Raw genomic sequence first — 16,310 nt, forward strand, 5'->3', positions numbered from 1 at the left:
GATGGTAAATATGTATGTGAGGAATACTTTCTAAAGAGATCCTTTCTGGTAATTTTAAGAATATACTAGAATACCAAAATATTAAGAAGATATTTTGAGAACGAGGTTTGCTAAGTGGTTGCCTCATCTGAGGTCCTTAGTGGTATTTCTGAAATTGACAACAGTTTCTGTTTCCTCTTTAAAAATCCCCACATTTTTATGATTAATTTTTTTAACTTAAGGAATAACATAGCCGACCCCTTATTTATTGATAGCTCAAAGGCGAAACCTTCGCCCCCCTCCTTTGTGAAGTGTCATATAATTTAATGAGTAAAGTCTGAGTTCCTGAGGTCTGCTTGATGCTTGGAAATTATTTGTTAGATGCAGCTGGGCGCGGTGGCTCACGACTGTAATCCCAGCACTTTGGGAGGTCGAGGCGGGTGGATCACGAGGTCAGGAGATGGAGACCACGGTGAAACCCCGTCTCCACTAAAAATACAAAAAATTAGCTGGGCACGGTGGCGGGTGCCCATAGTCCCAGCTACTCGGGAGGCTGAGGCAGGAGAATGGCGTGAACCCGGGAGGCTGAGCTTGCAGTGAGCCGAGATCGCACCACTGCACTCCAGCCTGGGTGACAGAACGAGACTCCATCTCAAAAAAAGAAAAAAAAAGAAATGATTTGTTAGATGCACCTGCTCTGCCCTCCCGAGTCCTTTGGTTATTATTATGCAGGGGAGTTTTGAGTTTTCATTTTTATCCAGAGGCTCAAGTGGGTTGCATTTCTGCCTCTTGCAGTTACTCACCAAGAATCCAAGCAAGCGGCTGGGCTGCAGGGGCGAGGGAGCGGCTGGGGTGAAGCAGCACCCCGTGTTCAAGGACATCAACTTCAGGAGGCTGGAGGCAAACATGCTGGAGCCCCCTTTCTGTCCTGATGTAAGTGCATTGCCAGGACGAGCAGGGCCCTAGGAACAGTGATCCGCACAGCACGGTTTTTCTCTTTCTTTTTTCAAAAATAGAGATGGGGGGTCTCACTGTGTTGCCCAGGCTGGTCTTGCACTCCTGGCCTCAAGTGGTCCTCCACCTTGGCCTCCCACAGTGCTGGGATTATAGGCGTGAGCCACTGTGCCCGGCTGCAACACAGTTTTTTGTTTTTTTTTGTTTTTTATTACAACAGATACAGAATCAGCAGGTACAGTTAGCATGTGGCTTTTGCTCATGGTGCCTGTCCTACCTGGTTCTTCTTCCCTCCCCCGTCACCCCAGTGTGCTTTGGCCACTCACTGGGCCCCTCACAGACCTCAGCGGTGCTCTAGCTCCCTGCCTCGTGTCACTGTCAGCCTCACTGCTGGGGGAGCCCCCCAGGTAGCTGAGACCACAGCCACACACCACCCAGCTCATTTTCACTTCTTTTCTAGAGACGGGGGTCTCCCTATGTTGCCCAGGCTACTTTTGAACTCCTGGCCCCAAGTGATCCTCCTGCCTTGACCTCCCAGAATGCTGGGATTACAGGCATGAGCCACTACGCCTGGCCACCCGTGTCCCCTTTCTGGTCTCAGGGCTGGCTTTCTCTCTCATTCTTGTGTTTCCCACAGCCGTGAGGCCCTGCTTCCTTTGTCTGGAACGCGTGTCCCCACTCTGCTTCTCATGAGGTCCTGGGACTGTGGCCTGGCCCCGTACTGAGGACCCTGAAGTGGTCACTGTGCCTCCTTGTGAGTGTGCTGTTGGGACACCTTCCTCTGGACTGTCCCCGAGGGGCGGGGCCTGCCGGTCCACTTCCGCCTCCCCACCTTGAGGGTATGAATGAGTGAAGAGCAGCTACTCTAACAGCTGTGCTGACCGTGGCCTTTGGAGCCACTGCTTTGCTGAAACACTCACTGTAGTGCACAAGTCCTGGGTGAAAAGTTTCTCAGGACTGCGGGTGCCTCCGGCATGAGCAGATGAGGGTCCCACAGCTGCCGACTTCCGTGCTTTTTGTTCCTTTGCCCTGAAAGTGCAAGGAACTGTACTGGCGGCAGGTGGAGACCCGGACCTTGGCACTCCCTCCTGCCTGCCTGACCCTCTGCCTCTGAGGACAGCAGTGCCGGGATAGGAGCTGCAGACCTGGGTTCCTGTCCCAGAGGAGGGACCTGCTGATTCAGGGAGCTGAGCGGAGGGATGAGGTCCCTTGCAGCCTTGGAGACCACTCAGTGGACCTGCAGGAGGATGGGAAGTGGGAGCTGCTGCTGTTCCTCAGGTTTTCTCCGGGTGCTTTGCCAGGAGTGCACCAAGAATTGGAGGCAGGGGCGAGAATTGTCACTAAGGGATCCCACCGCTGGTGGCCTCTGTCCCTGTTCACACTTCTCCGGTTCTGTGCTGCATCTTCCAATACGTGCAGTCCACCCTGCCCTGCATCCCTGACCTCTGTTTGCAATCCATTTTGCACTACGGAAAGGAGAAGGGCATGGCCTCAGGAGGGGTGTGTGTGTGTGTGTGTGTGTGTGTATGTGTGTGTGTATGTGTGTGTGTGTGTGTGTGAGAAAGAGGGAGAGAGCCAGGGCATGCAAGGGACCTGGCACAGACAGTACCACAAAATTGGTGACACTAAAAGCTGGCGAACCACCTCTTCAGAGGACACATTCTGTGATTTAGAAAATGCCTCAAGTGAGAGGGGCCTGGCAAAAGAATGGAGACAGGGAGAGTGGCGGTGTTTATGCGTCAGTTTGCTGGGCGTTTCATTCTTGGGAACTGAGGGAGCTGAGAATTGCTGTAGTCATCTCAGAGGCTGCCCCTGTTCTTGCTACACAGCCTCATGCCGTTTACTGTAAGGACGTCCTGGATATCGAGCAGTTCTCGGTGGTGAAAGGGATCTACCTGGACACCGCAGATGAAGACTTCTATGCTCGGTTTGCTACCGGGTGTGTCTCCATCCCCTGGCAGAATGAGGTACTGCCCTTCCAGCACAGCCGCTTTACGTTAGTTCCAACAGTGACCCAGGGAAAAGGGTGTGTGTGTGTCCGTGTGTGTGTGTGTGTCTGTGTGTATTTGGGAGATAAAATTATATAAGACGGCTGGGCGCAGTGGCTCACGCCTGTAATCCCAGCACTTTGGGAGGCTGAGGCAGGCAGATCATGAGGTCAGGAGTTCGAGACCAGCCTGGCCAACATAGTGAAACCCTGTCTCTACTAAAAGTACAAAAATTAGCCAGGCATGGTGGCAGGCACCTGTAGTCCCAGCTAGTAGGGATGCTGAGGCAGGAGAATCGCTTGAACCTGGGAGGCAGAAGTTGCAGTGAGCTGAGATTGCGCCACTGTACTCCACCTTGGGCGACAGAACGAGACTTCGTCTCACCCAAAAAAAAAAAAAAAAAGATTGTATAAGACTTTTGACCACAGGACTAGACCATGGGCAAGCCAAGGACCATATCAGCAGCTGTCCAGAAGCACAGCGGCTGTCCCTGGTCCCAATGACAGGAAGTGGACAGGAGGTAGCTATTTTGGGTCTGATGGGAGCTTGCCTGCCACCCCGAGCCCCACTCCCTAAGCAGGGCTGGCTGGCAGCCAGGGTTCCCATGGTAGTTCCCTGCTTTGGGAGTACACTCAGAGACAAGGGGAGAGGAGACCACATTACTTATTCCAAGAAGAGGTCAGGAAGCAGGGAAGGAGGAACCCAGAAAAGGGGCCCCACAGTGGGTGCAGGAGCTCTGAGGTGCCCCGCACGGGGCTGGGCAGGAGCTGCTGGCACTGGGAGACACCCACTGACCTGGCAGTTTCTCTGCGGCTTCTCTGTCCTGTTATTCTGTGCATGCAGATGATCGAATCTGGGTGTTTCAAAGACATCAACAAAAGTGAAAGTGAGGAAGCTTTGCCATTAGATCTAGACAAGAACATACATACCCCGGTTTCCAGACCAAACAGAGGCTTCTTCTATAGACTCTTCAGAAGAGGGGTAAAAAGACTTAAAAACTAATATATGTGTGTGTATGTGAAAAAAAAAAAAACATACTGACTGCCAAGGTGAAAACCTGGTACTTTTTCTGTTTGCGATGGCTCCTACAGGCAGTTTTATACAGTCTGAGAGCCACATGGTGCTAGGTGGAGGCCAGCCAGAACAATGAGAACACCCTCGCAGTGAGGTTTGTTGCTGGGATGAAGACTGTTCTGATCCAAAACAGGACTACCTTCCAGCATTTACAAACAGGTTCCCGTGTCGCTGACAAAATAGTTTACACTGGGCTCAGAAATCGGCATCCTGTGGAACCTTCGTCAGATGGCACTCACAGTGCATCTCTCCCTGCTCTGGCTCTTAGACTCACCTCCTTCGCCCGCTGCACGGGGAAAGTGGATTCCTTTTTGAAAAGGGAATCCTGGCTGGGTGCGGTGGCTCACGCCTGTAATCCCAGCACTTTGGGAGGCCGAGGCAGGTGGATCACCTGAGGTCAGGAGTTTGAGACCAGCCTGGCCAACATGGCAAAACCCCAATTCTACTAAAAATACAAAACTTAGCCGGGTGTGGTGGCACATGCCTGTAGTCCCAGCTACTTGGGAGGCTGAGGCAGGAGAATCGCGTGAACCCAGGAGGTGGAGGGTGCAGTGAGCCGAGATCGTGCCACTGTACTCCAGCCTGGGCAACAGCGCAAGACTCCATCTCAAAAAGAAAGAAAGAAAAATGGAATCCTTTGGAAAGACTTTCTGTAATAGCATTAAATGTAGACAAGCCTTTTTTCCATGCAAAGTGTCTCTCCTTGGATTCGTGGGCCATCCTACTTTGCACCCTGTGTGTTCCCAGGGGGTTGATTCAGAGCTTGGCCACTAACATTCTAATCCATCTTTCTTTCAGTATGAAAAATAGGCTAGGCGTGGTGGCTCACGCCTGTAATCCCAGCACTTTGGGAGGCTGAGGAGGGTGGATCACCTGAGGTCAGGAGTTCAAGACCAGCTTAGCCAACATGGTGAAACCCCATCTCTACTAAAAATATAAAAATTAGCCGGTCATGGTGGCATGTGCCTGTAATCCCAGCTACCTGGGAGTCTGAGGCAGGAGAATCGCTTGAACCTGGGAGGCGGAGGTTACAGGGAGCCGAGACTGCACCATTGCGCTCCAGCCTGGGTGACAAGAGTGAAACTCTGTCTTAAAAAAAAAAAAAAAAAAAGGAAAAAAAAATAAGCTTTAGGTGGGAAATATCTCAAAGTGGCATTTCCCATGGCTGTCTTTCCTCTGAGAACTAAGGGTTAGGTGTGAACTAACAAAATGGCTCTCCCTGACCCTCAGTGTGTAGCCAGCCCTGCATGGAAATAAATGCTCCTCCCTGGGCCCCGGTCCCAGTGTCCACACTTGGAGATGGAACCCAGGTTCCCACGTTTTGGGGAAAACCTGCCGTTGAGAGAATCTGATTGCACAGAGTGAAGCCCATTCTCCCCACACTGCTTCTTAGGCAGCCAGAGACCCTGTGACATTCATGCCTCAGCCATGGTACATGCAGAACTTACCTGCTGCATTTCCTATGTATGTGAGCTAAGCATCTACCACATCATGAAGTAAATAAGGAGAAAATTTTTCAGGTTTTTGCCTGCCTTAAAATTAGCAGCCCCCTGGCCGGGCACGCTGGCTCACACCTGTAATCTCAGCACTTTGGGAGGCTGAGGTGGGAGGATCACTTGAGATCAGGAGTTCGAGAGCAACCTGGCCAACATGGTGAAACCCCGTCTCTGCTAAAAATACAAAACTTAGCAGGGTGTGGTGGCGTGTGGCTGTGGTCCTAGCTACTCAGGAGGCTGAGGAAGGAGAATTGCTTGAACCTGGAAGGTGGAGGTTGTAGTGATCTGAGATCCTGCCATTGCACTCCAGCCTGGGCGACAGAGTGAGACTATGTCTCAAAAAATAAATAAATAAATAAAAAATAAAAAAGCACCCCCCACCCAAAAGTTTGTAAATGGTTGTCTGCACTTAAGGAAAGTGAAACCTTCGCATCAGCCGTGTGCCTGAGGCCGCCGCTGTGTGTTGTAGGGCTGCCTGACCATGGTCCCCAGTGAGAAGGAAGTGGAACCCAAGCAATGCTGAGCACCCCGGTGCGGACCACAGAGCAGACCCTGGCGCCAGGAAGGAGCATGTGTTAGCGTCTCGTCCCACCTGGAATTGTAATAAATACATCTAAATAAAACATGCCTTGGGAGTGTACAGACCTTTCTGCACTAATACCTGAGTTGTCTTTTCACTAAAGCTGGATTGAAGAAAAAGCCCCAAGAGTACCCCTGAGGCCCCAGACACGCCCAAGTGTGGGCGCCTTCCGTGCTGGGGTGCCCAGGTGTGGGCGCCTTGCGTGCTGGGGTGCCCAGGTGTGGGCGCCTTGCATGCTAGGGTGGGAGCTTTCCCTGCACCCAGGGAGAGGCCAGCGGGGGCTTGGGAATGGATGACCCAGCACTGCAGTGCCTCGCGCCACCCCCAGACTTGGTCTCACCACTCGGCCAGAGATGTGGTGGTCCAGGAAGAGAGGGGGCGGCCGGGCCTCCCTTTCCCCAGGGCCCGGGTGTCAGACAGTCCGAGCCCGTTGGCATTCCTGCATCTCCCGATGGCTGTCCCGTTGCCTTGTGCCCCTCACCGAGATTCCTTCGGTTTGTGTGTTTGTGGCCAGTTTTCATTTTCTCTGAGCATATCTATCTGCCCTTGAAAGGGGCGGCTCCCCATGACCCTGCAGTCAGGGCCTGGCGGCCAGGGCTCCAGCAGGTGCGCCCGGCATGCGGTGACAGCCTGCACCGTGGGAGTCCACGTCAGGGCCCCCGAGAGGCCGGTACTGTGTCAGGGATGAGGAGCCCGCCCTCCTGGGCTTTAGTGGCGCTTAGGAGCCTGGGAGCTTCCCGTGGAGGTTAAGGGCGCTGAAACTGCACAAGCTGAGAGCTCACAGCAGTGCGTGGTGCCTCTTCAGCTGGGGTGCTCACCCGCGGGGAGACGTGGCTTTGTGCGCTTGGCGAACCCCACGCCAGGGCGTAGCGGAAGGGTGTGGACCGGCACTGAAGCCCGCGGAGGCACCCGTGCGTGTGCCAGGGCATGAAGATTTCCCAGGGGGCGACGTTGGAGCTGGGCGGGGAGCGAACAGGAGGGACAGGGAGGGCTGAGGCCCCAGAGCTGACCCTGCTGAGGGCCCTCGCTGGCGGCCTTGAAGCTGCGCCCAGATCCTTAGAGAAGGTGCGGAACTTGGGCCTTTTTCCTGAACTGTGCTTCGCAGGATGGGCCGGCCCGGCGCTGGCTGCGGCTTCCGCAGGGCAGGGCAGCACTTGACATGGTGAGGGCTGGTTCAGGGAGGAGCTGACGGGGACACCAGCCGGGTGCCTTCACCTCCGCCCCATCCATTCTCCACTGCTGTCAGGGCTGCCTGGAGCCTGCAGCCGGGATCTCTGTGCTGCCTGCTGCGTGAGAAGCCAGGGCACAGGCCTCGGTGACTTTGAACCAGACAGTGACACATCGGACAGCTGCGCGCGGGAGAGGAACCACAGTGCCTGAGGGACACAGCGCTCCCTGGGCCGCTTTCACAAGAGCAGCAGGAGCGACCAGGCTTCCAGGCGGACGTTTCCCTTGCATCGGGGTGTGGGGAAAATCAGCTTCCGCAGGTGCCCACCGCCGGCTCCAGCAGGGGCACTGGGGCCCGTCCTGGGAGGAAAACACCAGCGGGGATGTCACCATGAGGTTGGGAGCCTTCTTTGTACGAGGGGAAGGGGAAGGGGACGTTATCTTGGAGACTTGGGGTCTTTATTCTTTGGGGGAATGGAAATAGCTTTGCTTTTCTTCTGATTGAGGCAAAACTCATTAAAGAGTAAGGCTTTTTGGAAGCGGGTGACCGCGGCGGGACTCTGGACCCCTCTCCTCTGTGCCTCACTGTCCTCAGCTGCAGAATGAAGATGGCAGGAGTTGGTGCCCCCGGGATGCTGAGAGCAGGTTTCAGAGTCTGTAAATCATGTAGCACAGTGTTGAATACGTGGTCACCATTCAGTAACTATGCCAATAATCGTGGGAAAATAATACCTGCTCATTGCAGAAAATACAGGAAAACATGCAGGAAAGAAAAATCACCATTATTCCACCCCCACCCCCATTTCCACTCTGACTCTTTCCAGGAGTTCTTCCATCAGTGTAGACAAAGTCCACAGCGGAATCACAGTGTAGACGACTCTGCTGGGGGCTGGGGACCTGGCTGGGCTGAGGACCTGACTTCCTTGCCAGCCACAGGGCCTCTGTAAAGGCCTGCCTCGCGCAGGTGTTGAAGTTTAGGGACACCTGCCTGTCAGAGGCATTTGAACAAGAGCAACTCCATCTTGAATGGGGGCTGGGTAAAATGAGCCTGAGACCTGCTGGGCCGCATTCCCAGGAGGTTAGGCATTCTTAGTTACAGGATGAGATAGGAGGCTGGCACAAAATACAGGTCCCAAAGAGCTTGCTGATAAAACAGACTGTTTTAAAGAAGCCGGAGCTAGGCGCGGTGGCTCATGCCTGTAATCCCAGCACTTTGGGAGGCCGAGGCAGGTGGATCACTTGAGGCCAGGAGTTAGAGACCACCCTGGCCAAAATAGTGAACCCCGTCTCTAATACAAAAATTAGCCAGGTGCAGTGATGGATGCCTGTGGTCCCAGCTACTCGGGAGGCTGAGGCAGGAGAATCTCTTGAACCCAGGAGTCAGAGGCTGCAGTGAGCCGAGACCTGGGCAACAGAGCAAGACATCGTCTCAAAAAAAATAATAAAATAAAGAAGTAAATAAAGAAGCTGGGAAACCCACCAAAACCAAGATGGCGATGAGAGTGACCTCTGGTCATCCTCACAGCTCATTACATGCTAATTATAATGCATTAACATGCCAAAAGACACTCCCATCAGCGCCATGACAGTTTTCAGATGCCATGGCAACGTCTGAAAGCTACCCTGTATGTTCTAAAAAGAGGAGGAACTCTCAGTTCTGGGAATCGCCCACCCCTTTCCCAGAAATCTCATGAATAATCCACCCCTTGTTTAGCATATAATCAAGAAATAACCATAAAAATGGGCAGCCAGCAGCCCTCTAGGCTGCTCTGCCTACGGAGTAGCCATTCTTTATTCCTTTACTTTCCTAAGAAACTTGCTTTCCCTTTATGGATTAGCCTCGAATTGTTTCCTGAGCGAGATCCAAGTACCCTCTTTTGGGGTCTGGATCGGGACCCCTGTCCAGTAGCACTCCCTCCATCTTGCCTGCTGAGGAGGAAACTAGACCTGGGAACCGACCAGGGTTGCAGGGCCCAGGGCCCGAGGGCATCGTTCATACCCTGGGCTGGTGGCTATGGAACTAATAAAGTCCTTTTTGTTTCTTTGTTTCTTTTTTTGCTTAAGCTAGTCTGAGTTAAATTTCCCCATGCCCAAGTGAAAGCTTTGACTGAGAGAAATAAACCTAGGCCAGGATTTGTACACAGACCATTTGGTAACTTGTTCAATTAACATGTTGAACATCTCATTTTTCTCTTTCTGTTTATAAGCAAGCATGTATGTATTGAAGAGAACTTTGAAATTAAGAAGAACAGTGCTCGCTGTGGCAGCATATACACTAAAACTGGAATGATACAGAGAAGATTAGCATTGCCCCTGCACAAGGACGACACACAAATTTGTGAAGCGTTCCATACAAAAATATATTTAAAAAAAGAAAAAACACAAAATCTCGTCTTTAATATTAGCTGCTGTGCATAGGCAATCCGTATCAACATTTTGTTTGCTATTTATATAATTAATATAGTGATTTATTTCTTTCCATGTCATTTGGCTGCTTAAATTTTTAATGTTTTTTTTGAGAGTCTCGCTCTGTTGCCCAGGCTGGAGTGCGGTGGCGTGATCTCGGCTCACTGCAACCTGCATTCAAGTGATTCTCATGCCTCAGCTTCCCGGATAGCTGGGATTACAGGCACCACCACCACACCGGCTAATTTTTTTTTTTTAGTACAGATGGGGTTTCACCATGTTGACCAGGCTGGTCTCGAACCCCTGGCCTTAAGTAATCTGCCCATCTCAGCCTCCCAAAGGATTACAGGTGTGAGCCACTGTGCCTGGCCTGCTTAATCTTTTATTACATATTTCAGTCATCCATGATATTGTGAAGTTATATTTGGTTTTCGTTCAGTCTCCTGGCATATATTTCCCCAAATCCTTGGAATCTTCAAAGTGATGAATGTCTTTTTTGTATGTTAATGAGGTGGCTGGTGGCTCCTAGACAGCTTCAAGATAGGAGGTGGGGCTGGTCACCAGAAAGAAGAAGGTAGGGTTAGAAGGTTGGGACTCAGCCCTACTCTTGCCCTCTGGGAAGGGAGAGGGGCTGATGGTTGAGCTGATCGCCAATGGCTAATGATTAAATCATGCCTATGTGATGAAGCCTCCATAAAAACCCAAGAGGACAGGGTTCAGAGAGCTTCCGGGTAACGTGGAGGTTTCTAGAGGGCAGCGCACCTCCCTTCTACGGGGACAGAAGCTCCTGTGCTTGGGACCCTTCCAGAACGCTCCCTATGCATCTTCTCATCTGGCTGTTCATCTGTATCCTGTAAAATATGCCTTGTAATAAACCAGGAAATGTGTTTCTCTGAGTTCTGTATGCTGATCTAGCAAATTAATTGAACCCAAGGAGGGGGCTGTGGGAACCCCCAATGTTTAGCAGGTCAGTCAGAATCACAGGCCAAATAACCAGGGGCTTGCAGTTGGCATTGGAAACGGGGTTCAGTCTTGTGGGAACTGAGTCCTCGATCTGTGTGGTCAGGCGCTGTCTACAGGTAGATGCCGTCAGACTTGAATGAGAGGACACCCAGCTGGTGTCCGCTGCAGAACTGATTGCTTGCTTGTGGGTGGGGAGAAGTATTCTGTGTTGATTCTTGAGTGAGAGAACAGGAAAAGGACACTGCGCTTTTCCCCTAGATCCTCAGGGTGGCTGAATATACATATGGAATACGCTGTAGGAGGAGTTATGAATATCTGTGAGGGGAGCAACACCCAGTGTGCAGTTAGCTTCATGCCTCTTCATGGGTCACGTGTTCAAAAAATGTTGGGGTTAGCGTGATCGGAGGATGTGGTTTTCCTCCCTCTGACGTCAAAAGGTGAAGCAGAGGACACGAGAACCCTCACTGCACCGCCTCTGGAGACGGCCACGGCCACTGCAGGCTCTGTGGTCTCTTACCAGGAAGGGAAGCATTGCCTGGCCGTGGCCTCAGATGATTGGCTAAAGGCAATAGAAGAGTGAGATGTCTGTTCTTTTTTTCTAGAGCTGGTTTCTGTTTATTCTTTAGGAAGGCATTCCAGTGAAAGGGTATTAAGGAAGGGGCACACTGAGGCGAGTCTGACCTGTCCTGTCACGGCCAGGAACTCAGTTTTTAAGGTTTCTCTGAGGTCTCCTCGACCAAGAAGCGGTCCGCTCAGTTGGCAGGGGTTTTAGGATTTTCTTATGTACCTCAAGGGAGCAGTAAACATCACATCATAATTTTTTTTTTAACAAAAAAGCACAATATGCACTCAAAACAGTGTTTGAACATTTTAAAGAATACATATTATATACCTCTGTTAAATGAAAAACTTCAGCCAAATTAAATTTAAATGAGTTTAATTGAGCAATGAACGATTCACGAATTGGGCAGCCCCCAGAATCACAGCAGATTCAGAGGGACTCCAGGGATACCTCGTGGTCAGAACAAATCTATAGACAAAAAAGGGAAGTGACATATAGAAATTGGAGGTGAGTACAGAAACAGCTGGGTTGGTTGCAGCTCGGCATTTGCCTTATTTGGACACAGTTTGAACTCTCAGCAGTGTACGAGTGAAGTACGGCTGCTGGGATTGGCCAAGACTCAGGTACTGCCACAGGTGCAGACTCCCAAGTGAGGATGTCAGGGTTTCAGTCTTGTCTACCAATTAAGTTAGGTTGCAGTTCGTCCACAAGGACTCAAATAGAGAAGTATGGAGTCCTTCTCAGGCCATATTTAGTTTGCTTTAACAATTCCACCCTTTTGGTCATTTTCTCAATTTTGAGAGATTGACCAAAACTTTAGTCATTGATGTCACTATCACCATCGTAAATGTACTTATTTGGTCCTGAAACCCTCTGAGAAACAGTAGAACAGTGAGTTTTGCAAAGGTAGGAACAAGGACTGAGGGTACCTCCTTATGCTGGAACGTCCTGTTTATAGGGGAATCTGTTAGGATCTATGTGTTTCCTTAAAGTCTTAGTTTGATTATGTCACATTTAGCATGAGTGACTCCATTTTTGTTTGGCTTAGTCTGTTGGGACATAGTGCATGAGCTCAGTCCAAAACAATGGCCTCCCATAATTTTATTTTAATAAATTCCCCTTTCTGTCCAGGTTCTCACTTAGGTGAGTGTGGGCGGCAAGCCACCCAGCTGCCAAGGCAAGACCCCGAGGGCACAAGCTGTTCCAGTATAATAAAAAATATATATATAGAATAAGAATAGTTATACTAGGCCGGGCGCAGTGGCTTACGCCTATAATCCCAGCACTTTGGGAGGCCGAGGTGGGCAGATCATGAGGTCAGGAGATCGAGACCATCCTGGCTAACACGGTGAAACCCCGTCTCTACTAAAAATACAAAAAATTAGCCGGGCGTGGTGGCGTGCACCTGTAGTCCCAGCTACTCGGGAGGCTGAGGCAGGAGAATGGCATGAACCCGGGAGGCGGAGCTTGCAGTGAGCCGAGATTGCGCCACTGCCCTCCAGCCTGGGTGACAGAGCGAGACTCTGTCTCAAAAAACAAAAACAAAAACAAAACAAAACAAAACAAAAAGAATAGTTATACTAGAAATAGATTATAGATATGATTAGATATGACTATTATCAATCATTAGTTTGTGGCATTACTCTATTCCAATATTATAATAATCTTTGTTCTACAATTATAACCTAGGAAAAACCAGGCCATACAGAGATAGGAGCTGAAGGGACAGGGTGAGAAGTGACCAGAAGACGAGTGTGAGCCCTCTGTCACGCTCAGACAGGGCCACTAGAGGGCTCCCTGGTCTAGTGGTAATGACAGTGCCTGGGAAGGCACCTGTTACTTAGCCGACCAGGGAAGGGAGTCTCCCTTTGGCCAGGGGAGAGGGGCGGAGGGGTTAGAGAAGACTCTGCTCCACCATCTCTTGTGGAAGGCCTGACATCAGTCAGGCCCGCCCACAGCCATCCGGAGGCCTGACCATCTCCCTGTGATGCTGTGCTTCAGCGGTCACGCTCCTGTTTCACTTTCATGTTCCGCTCTGTACACCTGGCTCCATCTTCTAGATAGCAGTAGCAGAATTAGTGAAAGTGCTAAAGTCTTTGAAATGCATAGAAGAAATAATGACGTAGGCTGTCTCCTCTCTCTCTCCGCCTCGGCTACCAAACAGGGAAGGGCACCCTGTCCGGTGGACACGTGACTTGCGTGACCTGACCTATCATTGGAGATGACTCACACTCCTTACCCTGCCCCCTTGTCTTGTATCCAATAAGTAACAGGGCAGCCAGGCATTCGGGGCCACTACCAGTCTCCGTGTCTAGGTGGTAGTGGTCCCCTGGGCCCAGCTGTCTTTTCTTCTATCTCTTTGTCTTGTGTCCTTATTTCTGTGATCTCTCATCTCCGCAGGTGAGGAGAAAAACCCACAGGCCCAGTAGGGCTGGACCCTACAGGCGAGAGTGTGACCAAAACTTAGGGCCTTAGCACCACTCTCAGTTACCATCGTTTTGGGTTTCTGGTCTCAGCACGTCATTCATAGGTTACGGTGTCCTCATGGTCACACATTTCTTTCAGCTTCTGCCATTCCAGTTGAAGAGAGACCATTTGTTGTTCTAGAGATGGCTGCATGCAGACATTTAAAACCTTTGAGAGAATGCAGCGCACCAGGGAGACTATTATTATGATTACTGGGAGGATAATACCAAGAGTTTGCAGTATGCTCCTTACCCAGGGTCCCTATACACCAAACCACCCCAAATCAAATAGATCAGACAATGAGCTAGATAAGAGGCTACTCACTCAACTAAGTGGCCTTTTCATTAATCTCCCACAACTGAATCTCTATAATACCTGATGTATTTCTCCCTAGGCCACAGGTGCCAGCAGCTGCACAGGTACTACTTTTCTGTTTAGTCAATTCTATTATTTAGCATACCTTTCACAAGGGAATTGAAAGTCTGTTGTGTAACTATAGCCTTTACAGTAGAGTCTGCTATACAGCCTATCATGAGGGATACATTTCTGGTTATGGCCTCTTTTACTCTAAACCATGGAAAAGTGATGCCCTTCTGGAAGAGTAAAGCCCTCCTGGCAATGCCCTCTTTAACCCATAGTGTGGGTTAAGAGGAGTGAACCGATATTCTGTTTCTGACTGATTACAGGCAACATATGTCTCATTAAAGTTTCTCACCTACACTGGACCTTCATCTTTTATCTATCAAAGTATAAAGTTATCCGTGTATAAGGCTGGCTGCAAAATCCTTCACAAATGAAAGTATACCCCATAAGTGCACACAACAGATCGTCTTTTCATTTCTATTATTCATAGAGGCATAAGCAAGGAACAGATACTCAAAGATAAGAGTCTCATGGCCAGGCGTGGTGGTGCATGCCTGTAATCCCAGCACTTTGGGAGGCCGAGGTGGGCGGATCACCTGAGGTTAGAAGTTCAAAACCAGCCTGGCCAACTTGGCAAAAACCCATCTCTACTAAAAATACAAAAATTAGCTTGGTGTGGTGGCAGGCACCTGTAATACCAGCTACTCGGAAGGCTGAGGTATGAGAATCGCTTGAACCCAGGAGGCAGAGGTTGCAGTGAGCTGAGACTGCACCACCGCACTCCAGCCTGGGTGACAGAGCAAGACTCCATCTCCAAAAAAGAAAAAAAAAAGAGAGTCTCATGACAGTAGAAGTCTTGATCCACGATCTTAGCAAAAGCCGTTCACATCAAGGATGCCATCTTCTGGGGAGAGACTTCCTTGGCTTTACCTTAAAGGTTCCAATGGGTGTACAGTTCCAGGAGTGTGGATGGACCCTTCTCAGTTGTGAGATTATGAACCCAAGTTTCAAGATCCCTAAGTTTTGTTGCAGTGCGGATGGCAAGGACAGTCTTTCTCTGATGTTCTCAGAAGATCCAGTCTTCGGGTTCTAGAATGCAAAGGGTTTGACCTCAGTGAACCATAGAAAAATATACTGTAGCATAATAACCTACTGTTAAAACATCAGCCCTCTTAACATGCGAGAGCTTTTATACAACCCGGAAAACATGCATTGAAAATGACGATTGAATAAAATCCCTTTATAAAATATGTAAATAGCCCAGGGTTATAAACTATTTTAGCAATTTGTAAGTTATCACACACACACACACACACACACACACACACACACACACACATATACACTTTTTTTTTTTTGAGATGGAATCTCTGTCACCCAGGCTGGAGTGCAGCGGTGCAATCTCGGCTCACTCCAACCTCTGCCTCCCACACACCAATGTATTTAATTTGGATTACTTTATCTTTTCCATGATGAGTCACGAAATGCAGAACTTTTAATAACAAAAGCTTTAAGGACTCAGGAAGGACAAGGTGGCCGTCCTGGTTCTCCGTGAGTCCATACTTAATTAACATTAGACTTCAGTCCTCTTGAATCCCAGTTGCTTCTCCAAATTAGGTGCATTGCACGGATAACTGATGGGTTATCACAGGTAATTTGACTTAGACCATGGATTTCATTCAAATTGTATATCTGAACTATTTCAGTGTCAGCTGATTTAAGATGAAAATCTGGCAAACTCTTTTCTTGGTATTCAATTAATTTTTGTTCTACTTGGGTTAGCAGTTCTATAAGCCAGTCAGTCTTTTCATTAAAGTTCCAGGAATTCTTACCCAGTTCAAATGATATGATTCTAAAGTTATTAGAAACCTGTATTCCAAGACTGATTTTTAGGGTCCTTTTCATCCTTTTATGAATCTCCTAAAAGACACCATACTTTTGAAGTTTTCAGAAACCGCACCAGCATTAAGCAATTAACTGTGGAAATGACTTTAAATAGTCATAGTTAAAAACACAATTGACAAGGAAATTTGGTTATTTCTATGATTTACAGTAACTTAACCATAATTATATTGATAGCATAGACTCAGGCATATTAGAATTTTAGAAATCCCATTTAATTTTGGAACATATATTAATATCATTCACTAAAATGTAACCTGAAGAGGAGTAAACATTATTTTTTGACAATGCTTCCCATGTAACTTAACATATCAGATTATCCCGTTTACCTCTCTTTGGATGCTTTAGGGGATCTCTGTAACACCCCAAAGTTAGAGGTCAGAAAGACTATTTTGAAGCTGAAATTTGAT

The 16,310-nt window shown here is 49.3% G+C and overlaps 1 protein-coding gene, 1 non-coding gene and 1 pseudogene across 29 annotated transcripts in view, besides 7 other annotated features; 2 read left to right on the forward strand and 1 right to left on the reverse strand.

The window, feature by feature from the left end:
- GRK4 (G protein-coupled receptor kinase 4) overlaps window positions 1-6,149 on the forward strand; it is a 77,190-nt gene extending 71,041 nt beyond the window's left edge. For 11 of the 25 annotated variants that reach the window (XM_011513447.3, XM_017008053.2, NM_182982.3 and 8 more), the window contains 4 exons: window positions 775-912; window positions 2,763-2,900; window positions 3,765-3,902; window positions 5,961-6,149. In XM_011513447.3, the coding sequence (XP_011511749.1) occupies window positions 775-912; window positions 2,763-2,900; window positions 3,765-3,902; window positions 5,961-6,014 (468 nt within the window). In that variant the 3' untranslated portion in view covers window positions 6,015-6,149. Of the gene's footprint in view, window positions 1-774; window positions 913-1,570; window positions 1,688-2,762; window positions 2,901-3,764; window positions 3,903-4,012; window positions 4,376-5,960 lie in introns of those variants that run through there. The other 14 variants (XM_011513450.3, NM_001004057.2, NM_005307.3 and 11 more) reach the window with 8 other exon arrangements.
- Window positions 3,057-3,106: an enhancer, noted in NCBI's record as "active region_21208". NCBI's record gives its function as "activates an Ori minimal core promoter by ATAC-STARR-seq in GM12878 lymphoblastoid cells {active_cell/tissue: GM12878}" and the evidence as "EXISTENCE:reporter gene assay evidence [ECO:0000049][PMID:35858748]".
- Window positions 3,687-3,776: an enhancer, noted in NCBI's record as "active region_21209". NCBI's record gives its function as "activates an Ori minimal core promoter by ATAC-STARR-seq in GM12878 lymphoblastoid cells {active_cell/tissue: GM12878}" and the evidence as "EXISTENCE:reporter gene assay evidence [ECO:0000049][PMID:35858748]".
- Window positions 3,787-3,836: an enhancer, noted in NCBI's record as "active region_21210". NCBI's record gives its function as "activates an Ori minimal core promoter by ATAC-STARR-seq in GM12878 lymphoblastoid cells {active_cell/tissue: GM12878}" and the evidence as "EXISTENCE:reporter gene assay evidence [ECO:0000049][PMID:35858748]".
- Window positions 5,805-6,254: an enhancer, noted in NCBI's record as "active region_21211". NCBI's record gives its function as "activates an Ori minimal core promoter by ATAC-STARR-seq in GM12878 lymphoblastoid cells {active_cell/tissue: GM12878}" and the evidence as "EXISTENCE:reporter gene assay evidence [ECO:0000049][PMID:35858748]".
- Window positions 6,355-6,404: a silencer, noted in NCBI's record as "silent region_15197". NCBI's record gives its function as "represses an Ori minimal core promoter by ATAC-STARR-seq in GM12878 lymphoblastoid cells {active_cell/tissue: GM12878}" and the evidence as "EXISTENCE:reporter gene assay evidence [ECO:0000049][PMID:35858748]".
- Window positions 7,475-7,694: an enhancer, noted in NCBI's record as "active region_21212". NCBI's record gives its function as "activates an Ori minimal core promoter by ATAC-STARR-seq in GM12878 lymphoblastoid cells {active_cell/tissue: GM12878}" and the evidence as "EXISTENCE:reporter gene assay evidence [ECO:0000049][PMID:35858748]".
- RNU6-204P (RNA, U6 small nuclear 204, pseudogene) lies at window positions 9,490-9,596 on the forward strand (annotated as a pseudogene).
- The window catches only part of HTT-AS (HTT antisense RNA), a 28,486-nt gene continuing 23,703 nt past the window's right edge, over window positions 11,528-16,310 (reverse strand). For all 4 annotated transcript variants that reach the window (NR_185915.1, NR_045414.2, NR_185916.1 and 1 more), the window contains one exon: window positions 11,528-15,087. This is a non-coding gene — a non-coding RNA (HTT antisense RNA). The remainder of the gene's footprint in view (window positions 15,088-16,310) is intronic.
- Window positions 13,099-13,458: an enhancer, noted in NCBI's record as "active region_21213". NCBI's record gives its function as "activates an Ori minimal core promoter by ATAC-STARR-seq in GM12878 lymphoblastoid cells {active_cell/tissue: GM12878}" and the evidence as "EXISTENCE:reporter gene assay evidence [ECO:0000049][PMID:35858748]".

This window comes from Homo sapiens, chromosome 4 (genome assembly GCF_000001405.40).
Source record: "Homo sapiens chromosome 4, GRCh38.p14 Primary Assembly".
Classification (NCBI taxonomy): Eukaryota; Metazoa; Chordata; class Mammalia; order Primates; family Hominidae; genus Homo; species Homo sapiens.